Genomic DNA, 16,361 nt, shown 5'->3' with positions numbered 1-16,361 from the left:
TTTATCCCTAAAAAACCAAGGGTCCTGGAAACTTAAGCATGTCAATGCAATCTTTATTAACTGAAAAAAATAAAAAATGAGTGCCCTTTACAAATTTATTTAAGATCAGGAAACAAAGAGAAGTCAGAAGGAGCCAAATCAGGACTATAAGGTAGATACCTAATGATTTCCCATCAAAACTCTCACAAAATCACCTTTGTTTGATGACAGAAATGAGCAGGAATATTGTCGTGGTGGGGAAGAAGTCTCTGGCGAAACTTTCCCAGACATTTCTAGGCAAAGTTTTGACTAACTTTATCAAAACACTCTCAAAATAAACAAAAGTTACCATTCTTTGATCCTCCAGAAAGTCAACAAGCAAAATGCCTTAAGCATTTCAAGAAACCATTGCCATAACCTTGGCTCTTGACCACTTCCACCTCTTGGTAGCCACTGCTTTAATTGTGTTTGTCTTCAGGATCATGTTGGTAAAGCAGTGTTTCATCCCCCTGTGTATTAGGCCATTTTTGCATTGAAATAAGGAAATAACTGAGACTGGTTAATTTATAAAGAAAAGTTGTTTAATTAGCTCATGGTTCTGCAGGATGTACAAGAAGCATGGCACCAGAATCTGCTCGGCTTCCGACGAGGGCCTCAGCAAGCTTACAAGAATGGCAGAAGGCGAAGGGGGAGCAGGCACCTCACATGCTGAGACAGAGTGCAGGGTTGGCAGGGAGGTGCCACACACTTAAACAGCCAGATCTCATGAGAATTCACTCACTATTGCCAAGGACAGCACCAAGTCATGAGGGATACGCCCCCATGACCCAAACATCTCCCACCAGGCCCCGCCACTGACATTGGGGATTACAATTCAGCATGAGATTTGGCAGGGACAATTCTCCAAATAAATGCTTTGGGATATTTCACTTGTTTAAAATTTCCATTGAAAGTTCTGCTTTTGTCTTCAACTAATCTGGCTGCAACAGTTTTGGCACCCATTGACTGGAATATTTGCTGAACTTTAATTTTTCCATTGGAAATGTGGAAGCTGAACCAATTGAGATATCTATGGCGTTGATTATTGTTTCTGCTGTTAATCGCTGGTCTTCCCCATTGATATGGTTTGAATCTGTGTCCCTCCCCAAATCTCATGTTGAATTGTAATCCCCAATATTTGAAAAGGGGACTGGTGGGAGGTGATTGGGTCACGGGGGCAGTTTCTCATGGTTTAACACCATCCCCCTTGGTGCTGTCATGGTGATAGAGTTCTCATAAAATCTAGTTGTTTAAAAGTGTGTAGCATCTCCCCCTCCCCATCCCTCTTCCTCCTGCTCTAGCCATGTAAGACATGCCTACTTCCCCTTTGCCTTCTGCCATGATTGTAAGTTTCCTGAGGTCTCCCCAGAAGCTGAGCAGACTGCCATCATCCTGCTTCCTGTACAGCCTGTAGAACTGTGAGCCAATTAAACCTCTTTTCTTTATAAATTACCCAATCTCAGGTATTTCTTTATAGCAGTGTGAGAATAGACTAATACAGGCACAAACAAGATTGGTTGGTTAGTTTGTTTTTTCTCAAAACTTGATGTGGATGGTCTGCCACTGTGGGCTTCATTATCAACATTATCTTGTCCTTTCTCAGAATGAGTTATCTATTTGTAAACTTCTGATTTCCTTAAGGCATTGTCCCCACAAGCTTTTTTTAAAGCATCAATTACTTCAGCATTTTTCAACCCAAGCTTCACTGTAAATTTAATGTTTCCCCTTGCTTCAATTTCAGCAGAATTCATTTTGCTCTGATAGTGCCTCAAATTGAATCCTATTCAGACATGTCATAAAAAGTTAGTATAAGTTTGTTAAAAAATAATTTTGAAATCTATGCATAGTTTTTTTCATAATACACATATTCCACAAACTTTTTGAAGACCACTTATATGCACTTCAACTTCATGCATACCAATACTGACTATGTTTAATGGATTTATTTAGTTGTACGCTGCCTTCTTCCAAAAAGGATTTGAGAAAGCACACAAATACATAAAATCAAATTTTAGAAAACTTTCCTGCCCTGGCTGGGGAGTGCAGGAAATGGGCACTGGGCCATGTGCAAACGCCAGCGCATGTTGCAGAGCCATTGGGTCTTACTCTCTTGTAATGGCCTCAGAAATGATCTCCTCTCCCATCTCAGTTTCCATAACATTGCTCAGATTTGTGATCACACCAAATTGTATTTCCATTTGCAGGAAAATATGTCTGGGTTGGGATCCAGTCTCCAGGGTGGTATACTGTGTTAAGATCATGCATTTAGAAGCCTCATCAAAATGTCTGCGCATTATCACTTAACCTGTTTAACCTTCACTTTCTCAATTTTCTCATTTCTAAAATAGAGATATCATTTGGAAGACAGAGCAAGCTGGCTAAATAGAAGCCCCCACCAGTTGTCGTCCCCACAGGAACACCAAATTGAACAACTATACACACACACACACACACACACACACACACACAAAGAGCCAAAAGAACACTTCATAAGAACCAAAAACCAGATGATAAATCACAGTACCTGGTTTTCATTTCATATCACTGAAAGGGGCATTAAAAAAGGGTAGGAAAGACAGCCTTGAATTGCCAATGCCAACCTTCCCCCATCCCCCAGCAGCAGCCATGTGGTGTGGAGAGAGAATCTGTGCACTTGAGAGACAGAGTGCAATGACTGTGGGACTTTGCACTGGGACCCAGTGCTGCCTTTTAACAGCAGAAAGAAATACTGGGCAGAACTCAGCCAGTGCCCATGAAGGGAGCATTTACACTAGCCCTAACCAAAGGGGAATCATCCATCCTAGTGGTTGGAACCTGAGATACAACAAGCCTTGCCACAGTGGGCTAAAGTGCTTTGGGTTCTAAATAAACTTGAAAGACAGTCTAGGCCACAGGGACTGCAATTTGTGGGCAAGTCCTGGTGCTGTGCTAGGCGTGGAGCCAGTGGATGTGGGGGACACATGACCTAGTGAGACACCAGCCAGGATGGCCAAGGCAGTGCTTGCACCCCACCCTCTCCCAACCCCAGGCAGTGCAGCTTGCAGCTCCACAAGAGACTCCTTCCTTCCACTTGAGGAGAAGAAATGGAAGAGAAAAGAGGACTGTCTTGCAATTTGGCTACCAGCTCAGCCACAGTAGGATAGGCCACCAAAAGGAGTCCTGAGGCCCCCATTCCAGGCCCTAGCTCCCAGATGACATTTCTAGAAATATTCTGGGCAAGGAGGGAACCTGCTGCCTTGAAGGGAAGGACCCAGTCCTGGCAGGATTTATCACCTGCAGTCTAAAGAGCCTTTGGGCCCTGAATAGTCAGCAGTAATAGCCAGGAAGTATTTGCTGTGGGCCTTTGGTGAAACCCAGGGCTATGCTGGCTTTAGGTGTGGCCCAGCACATTCCCAGCCATGGTGACTACTGGGAGAGACTCCTTCTGCTTGAGAAAAGGAAAGGGAATAGTAAAGGGGGCTTTGTCTCAAAGCTTAAGTGCCAGCTCAGCCACAGTGGCATAGAACACTAAACGGGCTTTTGGGGTCCCCAGTTCCAGGCCTTGGCTCTTGGAAATGGAGACCCCAAGATGCCATTAGATGGCATTTATGGATACTCCCTGGGCCAGAGGGGAGCCCAGTGCCCTGAAGGGAGACTCCCAGGCCCAGCATTTATGACAAGCTAACTGAAGAGTGCTTGGGCCATGAGTGAACATCAGCAGTAGCCAGGAAGTACTCATCATAATCCTGAAGTGGTGATGACCATATGGAGAGATTCCTTTGCTTATGAAAAGGGAAAGGAATAGTGGCACAGAATTTGTCATGTGGCTGAAAAAATGCTCACCATCACTGGCCATCAGAGAAATGCAAATCAAAACCACAATGAGATACCATCTCACACCAGTTAGAATGGCAATCATTAAAAAGTCAGGAAACAACAGGTGCTGGAGAGGATGTGGAGAAATAGGAACACTTTTACATTGTTGGTGGGACTGTAAACTAGTTCAACCATTGTGGAAGTCAGTGTGGCGATTCCTCAGGGATCTAGAACTAGAAATACAATTTGACCCAGCCATCCCATTACTGGGTATATACCCAAAAGACTACAAATCATGCTGCTGTAAAGACACATGCACACGTATGCTTATTGTGGCACTATTCACAATAGCAAAGACTTGGAACCAAACCAAATGTCCAACAATGACAGACTGGATTAAGAAAATGTGGCACATATACACTATGGAATACTATGCAGCCATAAAAAATGATGAGTTCATGTCCTTTGTAGGGACACGGATGAAATTGGAAATCATCATTCTCAGTAAACTATCGTAAGGACAAAAAAAACCAAACACCGCATGTTCTCACTCATAGGTGGGAATTGAACAATGAGAACACATGGACACAGGAAGGGGAACATCACACTCTGGGGACTGTTGTGGGGTGGGGGGAGGGGGGAGGGATAGCATTAGGAGATATACCTACTGCTAAATGACGAGTTATTGGGTGCAGCACACCAGCATGGGACATGTATACATATGTAACTAACCTGCACATTGTGCACATGTACCCTAAAACTTAAAGTATAATAATAATAAAATTTAAAAAAAGAATTTGTTATGTGGCTTGGGTACCAGCTCAGCCGCAGTAGACTAGTGCGCCAGGTAGATCCTAAGGTTTCCAACTTTAGGCCCTGGCTCCTGGATGGCATCTCTGAACCTACCCAGGGGCAGGGGGAACTCAGCATCCTGAAGAGAAGAACACAAGCCTGGCTGGCTTTTCCACCTGTTAATTGTAGAGCCTCAGGGCCTTGAGTGAACCTAACTGGTAGCAAGGCAGTGGTTACTACAGACCTTGGGCAATACCCACTGCTATGCTCGCTTCAGATCTGACCCAGCACAGTCCCAGTGGTGGTGGCCACAACAGAGATACTTATGTCAGCATTCCCTGGCTTCAGGCAGCTCAGCACAGAGAGAGAGACTCCGTTTGTTTGGCAGAAAATAAATGGAAGAGAAGAAGAGTCTCTGCCTGGTAATCCAGAGTACTCTTTCGTGTCTCATCCAAGACCACCAAGGCAGTACCTATATAAGTCTGCAAAAGCCACAGCATGACTGAGCTTGGGATGCCGCCTAATGCAGATACAGATGCAGTGACCAAAAACTTAGATTACAATACCCAAGTCCCTTTGAATACCTGGAAAGCCTTCCCAAGAAGGATGTGTGTAAAGAAGCCCAGACTGCAAAGACTACAATAGATGCCTAACTCTTCAATGCCCAGACACTGACAAACACCCACAAGCATCAAGATCATCTAGGAAAACATGACCTCACCAAATGAACTAAATAAGGCAACAAGGATCAATCCTGGGAAGACAAAGATACGTGATCTTTCAGACAGAGAATTCAAAATAGCTGTTTTGAGGAAGCTCAATGAAATCCAAGATAACACAGGGAAGGAATTCACAGTCCTATAAGATAAATTCAACAAACACATTGAAATAATTTAAAAGAATCAAGGAGAAATTCTGGAGTTGAAAATGCAATTGACCTACTGAAGAATGCATCAGAGTCTCTTAACAGCAGAAGTGATCATGCAGAAGAAAAAACTAGTGAACATGAGGACAGGATATTTGAAAATACATAGTCAGAGGAAACAAAAGAAAAAATAATAATAAAAAAACAGCCAGCAGACACTTGAAAAAATGCTCATCATCAGTGGTCATCAGAGAAATGCAAATCAAAAATACAATGAGATACCATCTCGCGCCAGTTAGAATGGTGATCATTAAAAAGTCAGGAAATAACAGATGCTGGAGAGGATGTGGAGAAAGAGGAACATTTTTACACTGTTGGTGGAAGTGTAAATTAGTTCAACCATTGTGGAACACAGTGTGGCGATTTCTCAAGGATCTAGAACTAGAAATACCATTTGACCCAGCCATCCCATTACTGGGTATATACCCAGGAGATTATAAATCATGCTACTATAAAGACACATGCACATGTATGTTTATTGTGGCACTATTCACAATAACAAAGACTTGGAACCAATCCAAATGTCCATCAATGATAGACTGGATTATTAAAATGTGGCACATATACACCATGGAATACTATGCAGCCATAAAAAACGATGAGTTCATGTCCTTGGCAGGGACATGGATGAAGCTGGAAAGCATCATTCTCAGCAAACTATCACAAGGACAGAAAACCAAACACCACATGTTCTCACTCATAGGTGGGAATTGAACAATGAGAACACATGGACACAGGGCGAGGAACATCACACACCAGGGCCTGTCGGGGGGTGGGGGGCTGGGGAAGGGATAGCATTAGGAGAAATACCTAATGTAAATGATGAGTTGATGGGTGCAGCAAACCAATATGGCACATGTATACCTATGTAACAAACCTGCACATTGTGCGCATGTACCCTAGAACTCAAAGTATAATGAAAAAAAAGAAAAAAGAATTTAAAAAAACAATGAAGCACATCTACCAAATCTAGAAAATAGCCTTAGAGGGGCAAATTCAAGAGTTACTGGCCTTAAAGAGGAGGTAGAGAGAGTGACGCAGCAGAAAGTTTATTCAAAGGGATAATAACAGAGAACTTTCCAAACCTAGAAAAAGATATCAATATTCAAGTACAAGAAAGTTATAGAACACCAAGCAGATTTAACCCAAAAAAGAACTTGAGACATTTAATTATGAAACTCCCAATGGTCAAGGTTAAAGAAAGGATCCTAAAAGTAGCAAGAGAAAAAGAAACAAATAACATACAATGGAGCTCCAATATATCTGGCAGCAAACATCTCAGTAGAAACCTTACAGGCCAGGAGAGAGTAGCCCAACATATTTAAAGTGCTGAAGGAAAAAACTTTTAAACTAGAATAGTATATCTGGTGAAAATATTCTTCAAACATGAAAGAAAATTAAAGATTTTCCCAGTAGTGCAAAAGCTAAGGATTTCATCAATACCAGACCTGTCCTACAAGAAATGCTCAAGGGAGTGATTCAATCTGAAAGAAAAGGACATTAATGAGCAATAAGAAACCATCTGAAGGTACAAAACTCCCTATTACTGTGTAACAGTAGGTACACAGAAAAGCACAGAATATTATAACATTGTAATTGTGGTGTGTAAACTACTCATGTCGAGTAGAATGACAACAACATAAACTAATCAAAAATAATAACTACAACAACTTTTCAAGACATACACAATACAAGAAAATATAAATACAAGTGACAAAAAGTTAAAAAGCAGGAGGATGAAGTTAAAGTGCAGAGTTTTTCCAAACACTGCATGTTCTCAATCATAAGTGGGAGTTAAACAATAAGAACACATGGACACAGGGAGGTGAACAGCACACATTGGGGCCAGTCAGGGGGTTAGGGGATGAGTGGAGGGAAAGCATTAGGACAAATAGCTAATGCATTCGGGGCTTAAAACCTAGATGATGGATTAATTTGATAAGTGCAGCAAACCACCATGACACACGTATACCTATGTAACAAACCTACATGTTCTGCACTTGTATCCCAGAATTTAAAGTTAAATAAAATAATAAAAAACACAAAAATGAAGCGCAGAGTTTTTGTTCATTTGCTTTTTGCTTGTTTGTTAGTTTGTTTATGCAATCAGTGTTAAGTTGCCATCAGTCTAAAATAAGTGGGTTATATTATTTGTAAGCATCATAGTAACCTCAAATAAAAAACATACAACACATACATAAAAAATAAAAAGCAAGAAATTAAAACACACCATTGCAGAAAATCACCCTCACTAAAAGGAAGACAAGAAGGAATGAAAGAAGAGAAAACCACAAAATAACCAGAAAACTAATAACAAACTGGCAGGAGTTAAGTCCTTACTTATCAATAATAACATTGAATGTAAATGGACTAAACTTTCCAATCAAAAGACATAAACTGGCTGAATGGATTTAAAAAGACAAGATCCAACCATCTATTGTGTACAAGAAACACACTTTGCCTCTAAAGACACACATAGACTGAAAATAAAGGGATGGAAAAGATATTCCATGCAAATAGAAACCAAAAAGGGGCAGGAGTAGCTATACTTAGACAAAATAGATTTTAAGATAAAAACTATAAAAAGAGACAAACAAGGTCATTATCTAATGATAAAGGGGTCAAGTCAGCAAGAGGATATAACAATTGCAAATATATGCACCCAACTCTGGAGAACCCAGATGTATAAAGCAAAGATTATTAGAGCTAAAGAGAGAGATAGATCCCAATACAATAATAGGTGGAGACTTCAACATCCCACTTTCAGCCTTTGACAAATCTTCCAGACAGAATATTGACAAAGAAACATTGAACTTAACCTGCATTATAGACCAAATGGACCTAATAGATATTTACAGATCATTTCATCCAATGGCTGCAGAATACTCATTCTTCTCCTCAGCACAGAAAAGACCATATGTTAAGCCACGAAACAAGTCTTTAAAAATTCAAAAAAAAAATGAAATTATATCAAGCATCTTCTCTGACCACAATGGAATAAAACTTGAAATAAAAAATAAGGGGAATTTGAAAACTATATAAACACATGAAAATTAAACAATATGCTCCTTAATGACCTGTGGGTTAATGAAGAAATTAAGAAGGAAATTTTTAAATCTCTTGAAACAAAGGATAATGGAACACAACATACCAAAACCCATGGGATACAGTGAAAGCAGTACTAAGAGGAAAGTCTATAGCTATAAGCACCTACATCAAAAAAAAGTAGAAAAACTTCAATTAAACAACCTAATGATGTATCTTAAAGAACTAGAAAAGGAAGAGAAAATCAAACCCAAAATTGGTAGAAGAAAAGAAATAATAAAGATCAGAGCAGAAATAAATGAAACAGAAACAAAGAAAACAATACAAAAGATGAACAAAATGAAAAGTTGGTGTTTTGAAAAAATAAAGAAAATCGACAAACCTTTAGCAAGACTAAAAATAAAAGAGAATACCTGAATAAATAAAATCAGAGATGAAAAAGGAGACATTACAATCAATACCACAGAAATTCAAAGGATCATTAGAGGCTACTATAAGCAGCCATATGCCAATAAATTGGAAAATCTAGAAGAAATGGATAAATTCCTAGACACATACAATCTACCAAGATTGAACCATGAAGAAATCCAAAACCTGAACAGACCAATAACAAGTAACAAGGTTGAAGCCATAATAAAAAGTCTCTCAGCAGAGAAAAGCCCAGAACCAAATGGTTTCACTGCTGGATTTTACCAAACATTTAAAGAAGAACTAATACCAATTCTACTCAAACTACTCTGAAAAATCGAGAAGGAAAGAATACATCCAAACTCACTCTATGCAGCCAGTGTTAACCCTGACACCAAAACCAGAAAAAGACATATCAAAAAAAAAAAAGAAAGAAAACTACAGGCCAATATCTCTGACGAACATTGGTGCAGAAATCCTCAATATAAGAATAGCAAACCAAATTCAATAACACATTAAAAGGATCATTTATTGTGACCAAGTAGGATTCATTCCAGGGAAACAAGGAAGGTTCAACATAAGCAAATCAATCAGTGTAATACATCACATCAACAGAATGAAGGACAAAAACCATATGATCATTTCAATTGATGCTGAAAAAGCATTGAATATAATTCAACATCCCTTCACAATTTAAAAAGCCCTCAAAAATCTGAGTATAGAAGGAACATATGTCAACACAATAAAAACCATATATGACAAACCCACAGCTAGTATCATGCTGAATAGGGAAAACCTGAAAGCCTTTCCTCTAAGATATGGAACATGACACTGTCACCACTGTTATTAAACATAGTACTGGAAGTCTTAGCCAGAGGAGACAAGAGAAAGAAATAAAGGGCATCTAAACTGGAATGGAAGAAGTCAAATTATTCTTGTTTGCAGATGATATGATCTTATATTTGGAAAAATGTAAAGACTCCACAAAAGGTATTGTAACTGATAAATTCAGTAAAGTTACAAGATACAAAATCAACATACAAAAATCAGTAGTATTTCTATATGCCAACAGTGAATAATCTTAAAAAGAAATCAAGAGAGTAATCCCGCTTTCAACAGCTAAAAATAAAATAAAATACCTAGGAATTAACCAAAGAAGTGAAAGATCTCTTCAATGAAAACTATGAAACGCTGATGAAAGAAATTGAAGATGACACAACAAATGGAAAGATATTCCATGTTCATGGATTGGAAGAATCAATATTCTTAAATGTCCATACTATCAAAAACCATCTACATATTCAATGTAATCTCTATCAAAATACCAATGACATTCTTCACAGACCTAGAAAAAACAATTCTAAAGTTTATATGGAACCACAAAAGACTCGGAATAGCCAAAGCTATCCTAAGCAAAAAGAAAAAAAAAAAGCTGGAAGAATCACATTACCTGACTTTAAGTTATACTGTAAAGCTATAGTAACCAAAACAGCATGGTACTAGCATAAAAACAGACACAGAGACCAATGTAACAGAATAGAGAACCCAGAAACAAATCCATACCTCTACAGTGAACTCATTTTTGAAAAAGGGGTCAAGAACATCCATTAGGGAAAGGACACCCTTTTCAATAAATGGTGCTGGGAAAACTGGATATCCATATGCAGAATAATAAAACTAAAACCCTATCTCTCATTATATACAAAAATCAAATCTGAGACCTCAAACTATGAAACTGCTACAAGAAAACACGGGAAACTATCCAGGACATTGGTATGGACAAAGATTTCTTGAGTAATACCCCACAAGCACAAGCAACCAAAGCAAAAAATGAATGAATTGGATCACATCAAATTGAAAAGCTTCTGCACAGCCAAGGAAACAACCAACAAAGTGAAGGCAGCCCGTAAAATGGGAGAAAAAATTTTCAAACTATCCATCTGACAAGGGATTAATAATTATAATATATAAGGAGCTCAAACAACTCTATAGGAAAATATCTAATTATGTGATTTAAAAATGGGCAGAGGATCTGAATAGACATTTCTCAAAAGAAGGCATATCAATGGCAAACAAGTATGTGAAAAGGTGCTCAACATCATTGATCACCAGAGAAATGCAAATCAAAACTACAATGAGATATCATCTCACCACAGTTAAAATGGCTTTTATTCAAAAGCCAGGCAATAACAAATGCTGGTGAGTAAGTGAAGAAAAGGGAACTCTTGTACACTGTTGGTGGGAATGTAAACTAGAATAACCACTATGGAGAACAGGTTGGAGGTTCCTCAAAAACTAAAAATAGAGGGCCAGGCGTGGTGGCTTACGCCTGTAATCCCAGCATTTTGGGAGGCCAAGGCGGACAGATCACGAGGTCAGGAGATCCAGATCATCCTGACTAACACCGTGAAACTCCGTCTCTACTAAAAGTACAAAAAATTAGCCGGGCGGGCGTGGTGGCGGGCACCTGTAGTCCCAGCTAGTCCGGAGGCTGAGGCAGGAGAATGGCGTGAACCCAGCAGGCGGAGCTTGCAGTGTGCCGAGATCGTGCCACTGCACTCCAGCCTGGACGACAGAGCGAGGCTCCGTCTCAAAAAAAAAGAAAAGAAAACTAAAAATAGAGCTACCGTAAAATCCAGCAACCCCTCTGTTGGGTATATACCCAAAAGAAAGGAAATCAGTACACTGAAGAGATATCTGCATTCCCATGTTTATTGCAGCACTATTCACAATAGCGAAGATTGAGAAGTAACCCAAGTGTCCATCAACAGACTAATGGATAAAGAAAATGTAGTTAATATGCACAGTGGATTACTATTCAGCCATAATAAAGAATGAGATCCTGTCATGTGCAACAACATGGATGGAACTGGAAGCCATTATGTTAAATGAACTAAGCCAGGCACGGAAAGACAAACTTAATATATTCTCACTTATTTGTTGGAGCTAAAAATTAAAATAATTGAACTCATGGAGACAGAGAATAGAATGACGATTACCAGAGACTGGGAAGGACAGGGTGGGGGAGGGAGAACATAGGGATGGTTAATGGGGTAAAAAATATACTTAGATAAAATGAATAAGATCTAGTATTTTATAGCACCACAGGGTGGCTACAGTCAACAATAATTTGTTGTACATTTTAAAATAACTAAAACAGTATAATTGGATTGTGTGTAATAAAACAAAGGGATAAATGCTTGAGGTTATGGATATCCCATTCACCCGATGTGATTATTATGCATTGTATGCCTGTATCAAAATATTTCACATACCCCATAAACATATATACCTACTCTGTACCTACAAAAATTAAAAATTAGACAAATAATAAAAATAAATAAAACGCAGATATCATCCTGGTGTAGCAATAAGGTTGAGAAAAAGCAGATGCAAAGTGCTTAGTATACAGTAGAAAATTAATAAATGGCAGCTCTTTTTATTACATTCCCTTCAATGCCTGGTAAAAAGTTTTACACCAAGTAAGTGTTCAATAAATGCTTATGGAATCAACAAATGAATCTAAAACTCTAGACAATATTGTTATGTTGTAATTTGTTTGGAATTATCTACTGCCTGATTACAACAGACCTTACTGTATAATGTTTGCTTGTTAACAGTGGCTTCCCTGGGGGAACCCTTTTAGTAGTCACCTTGATATTGGCCCTGGTATCCCAACTTCAGATATTTCCAAGTAAGCTTGAGACCAGCACTTGTTCAATATTCTTTCTCTTACATAATGGGACAAAGAGAGTAGGACTCATGTTTGCTACCCCACAAGTGCCCTTAACAGCTTTCAGTATCCTCCAGAAACTCAGGCTGCCTCCAGCTGGAGAGAACTAGAAGGAGCAAGAGAAGACAGGAAGCCATCAGAGGCAACGAGAAAAGAAAGGGTGAAAATAAAAGTGGCTATGCAAGGGGCAGGACTTTGAGGACGAAGGAGAGCCGGAAGCAGATTGTATGAAGGCACAGAGAGGATTGCATTGCGGGGAGTGTATGTAACTTTTGGATCATGGGTGTTATAAATAATGAGAGAAGAGTAGAATGTACTAATGTACTCAATACTCAGCTTATAAAAATGTCCGGCCCAGGGCTTAATGCTCTTATTAAACTCAAGAAACCTTTGAAACATCTACAGTATGTCAAGGACTATGGTGCTCTATGGCTTGAACCTTTTGGATCAGACATTCATTCCTTTTGTTTGAGGATGTGATGTGGCCCAAGTTATATTTAAATCTGTGTGATAGCCAATCGTGTTACAGCAGGCAAATATGCTATGTTCAAAAGTAACATTATCAGGACAAAAATATACCAAATTTCAAAAACACCTTATAAAAATCATTTTTCTGATCATATTACATCACAATATTGAACATTTTCTATTCTAAATTAGTCAGCATTAAGCCATTAAAATGTAAACTCCGTAAGGGAGTTTTTTCTTCAATCCTGCATTCCCTCCCTGAAGAACAATATGTGATCACTTAAAATTTTATTTTACCAATGATAAATCCAAAGAATGCAAAGTTTACAGAATTTATAAGAATTTAAAGAAGTTAAAGAAACAGAATTCACAAGAGAAAGAACGAAACAATAAAAGGAAAAAAGAGATAATTCAAAGTGAAATTAGCTCATTTATATACAAATTTATTTGTATGTATTTCTAAAATCATAATTTTCAGAACATTCCGATACAGTCATGTTAGATTTCTGATTATACAAACAATATAAGAGATCAAAGATCCCTTTTTTTTTTTGAGACAGGGTCTTGCTCTGTTCCCAGGATGGAGTGCAGTGGCACAGTCACCGCTCACTGCAGCCTCAACCTCCCAGGATCAAGGGATTCTCCTGTCTCAGCCTCCTGAGTAGATGGACTACAGGCACATGCCACCATGCCTGGCTAATTTTTTTATTTTTTTGTAGAGACAGGGGTCTCACTATGTGGCCCAGGTGGGTCTCAAACTTCTGGGCTCAACTGACGATCCCACCTTGGCCTTCCAAAGTGCTAGGATTACCGGCGTGAGCCACCACCCCCAATCCATACTTAATTCTTGATTATTTCCTTGCTAATGAGAAAAATGCAATAGCCTAAAGAAGAATCAGTGTGTTCCCTTTTATTATGCTAGGAACAGAAATTTAAGGTAATGAGGAAATTTTCTATTACCATGATGTGCAATGTTGTGAGATACAATTTTTTATTTCTTTCCAGCAAGTACATTCCAGTTGGTATTACATCTTGGATAACTGATGCATGAGACTAAAATAGAATAGAATGCCATAAGAAAAACATCAGGAAAATTCTTGACATTTGCCCTCTCATATTTTTGGTAATCATATTGTAACATCAAATTCTGCCCTCACATTAGTGGAGAAGTTTATTTCATCAAGCTGACATTGTTCCTATTCAGTTGTTGGTAACTCCTTTCACTTTAAATATTCGTCTTTGTGCCTCATCTATCCTACAAAAATATTCTCTTGTCAGCCTTTTTATTATTGTTCCTTTATGAATTAACTTCCTGGGAGAAATAGTAAGAGCTATTTTAACCTGAATCCTGTTGTTTGGCAGGCTCTTGGTTGTCTTGAGTTATGACATGGAAATGCCTTTCTTCTTGGGTAATTTCTCATGTCTAAGTATATATAAGTGTACACATTTTCTTCATTTGCAAATCATTCATGTACTAGTGAATCACTTCGAGTTCTTTTTTAACCTCAAGTAAAAATGTTTAATTAGCTATATCCTCAATTCTTGGCACACTCTCATTTCCAATCTGCAAGGTTCTTGTCTTATTTTACTTTGCCCCTTCGTTGCTCTCTTCACATTCCTTTCATTCCATAGGATTCTTCTTAATGTGTTTAATATATGCTGTAAATAGATCTGATTTCCTGAAAAAGAGTCTTTCTTGTGCATTCATGTATTATTCCAATATAGAAATTGTATTGTGCTATTTCTTATTTTTGCAGAGAATAGCATGGACAGATCTTAACAATAGTAAGTGTAAAATCTACATCATTACTTTTGCATGCTGCATAACATGCTAACATGTTTTACTTATTCCTTCTCCTCGCTTTTGACACCTATGCTATTTCCCTGTTAGTAGAAACTGCTCTGATGAAGCTCTTCATCGGTGTCCCCTTTTAGACTTACGTGAGCATTTTCCTGGGATACATGTTTCTAGCTCAAAGGTATATGTGTTTTATTTTACTTAGTACAGCCAGATTACTCTGCAAAATGGCAGCATCAGCTAACATTCTCATCAGCTCTACAAGGAGGATTCCTTCAGTACAAATTCAATATGTTTCTAACGCCTTTCAGGTGTGTCTTCATTCCCAAAGAGAAAAGCTGAACCAGTTTCCTGAGATCTTTCCTAACTTCAGAGTCTGTCTTCTGGATGAAGCGAGAGTTTGAACATAAGTTTTGGATCTGATCTTTAATTGTCCTCAATTAGGTCACCCACCTCTTCTGGTCCAAACACTGTGGCCAAAGGAACTGCATGTGATACATTGAATAATTGATTTCCCTAAGTAAAATCCCAGTATTGTGCCAAAAGTAGAAGAAATTGATGCATAGTGTCCAAAAACAAGTACTCGCTTAATGTCCAAAAACAAGTAAACAAGTGCTCGCTAAAACCGCAACTTTGCAGATAGGGGTATGAACAACACATAACACTTACCCAAGCCATAACTTCTCTGAACAATATCCAGGATGTCTCAGTTTTCTATTTCTGCATAGCAAACCACCCCAAAACTTAGTATCTTAAAACAGCAACCATTTATTTACTTAGAATTCTGCAGGTAACTTCAGATGGGCAGCTCTTCTAGTGTCTCCTCTAAGAGAGCTCGCATGGTTACAGTGAGCTGTCTCACTGCCTATCAAAAAGGAATTAAAATATCTGCTCATCTGGCAGTTTATCTGGAGCAAGAAGGTCCAAGAGAGCCACACTCACATGTCTGGAGAATACCCGGGGTGGTCAGCTGGAACATCTCAGTTCTCATCCATGCGGCTTCTCCAACAGGGTAGACTGCATTTCTTAAATAGTGGTGTACAGTGTTCCAAGAAGACAAGCCTCAGTGCACAAGTGCTCATCAACCCTTTGGCATGACATTTGCTGATGTCCCTTTGCCACAGCATGTCATATGGCCTAGACCACAGCCAATATGGGAAGACACTACACAAGGGTGTGAGTACCAGGAACATGATTTACAGGGAGCCATCAAAATAACAATTCTACCATGCTCAAGGACAGTTGGTGAGTTTCACTAAGAGTTCCCTAGGAAAAGGTATGACTTCCAAGCCAATAACTGAAACCAAGGACAAGCCCGGAAAAACATCTGGCTCCTCTGGCTTGAGCCAGCCCATGGTACATGGAGGGAGAACTAAGGT

At 38.9% G+C, this 16,361-nt stretch overlaps 1 protein-coding gene across 1 annotated transcript in view; it reads right to left on the bottom strand.

Annotated features, from left to right (window-relative positions):
- The window catches only part of NPR3 (natriuretic peptide receptor 3), a 100,849-nt gene extending 84,863 nt beyond the window's left edge, over window positions 1–15,986 (bottom strand). The window contains exon 1 of the mRNA NM_001364458.2: window positions 15,925–15,986. Coding sequence (NP_001351387.1) covers window positions 15,925–15,973 — 49 coding nt within the window. The 5' untranslated portion in view covers window positions 15,974–15,986. The remainder of the gene's footprint in view (window positions 1–15,924) is intronic.

The sequence above is a fragment of the Homo sapiens genome, chromosome 5 (genome assembly GCF_000001405.40).
Source record: "Homo sapiens chromosome 5, GRCh38.p14 Primary Assembly".
In the NCBI taxonomy this organism is placed as follows: domain Eukaryota; kingdom Metazoa; phylum Chordata; class Mammalia; order Primates; family Hominidae; genus Homo; species Homo sapiens.
The sequence above is the reverse complement of the archived record's forward strand: the minus strand, read 5'-3'. Positions and strand labels throughout refer to the sequence as shown.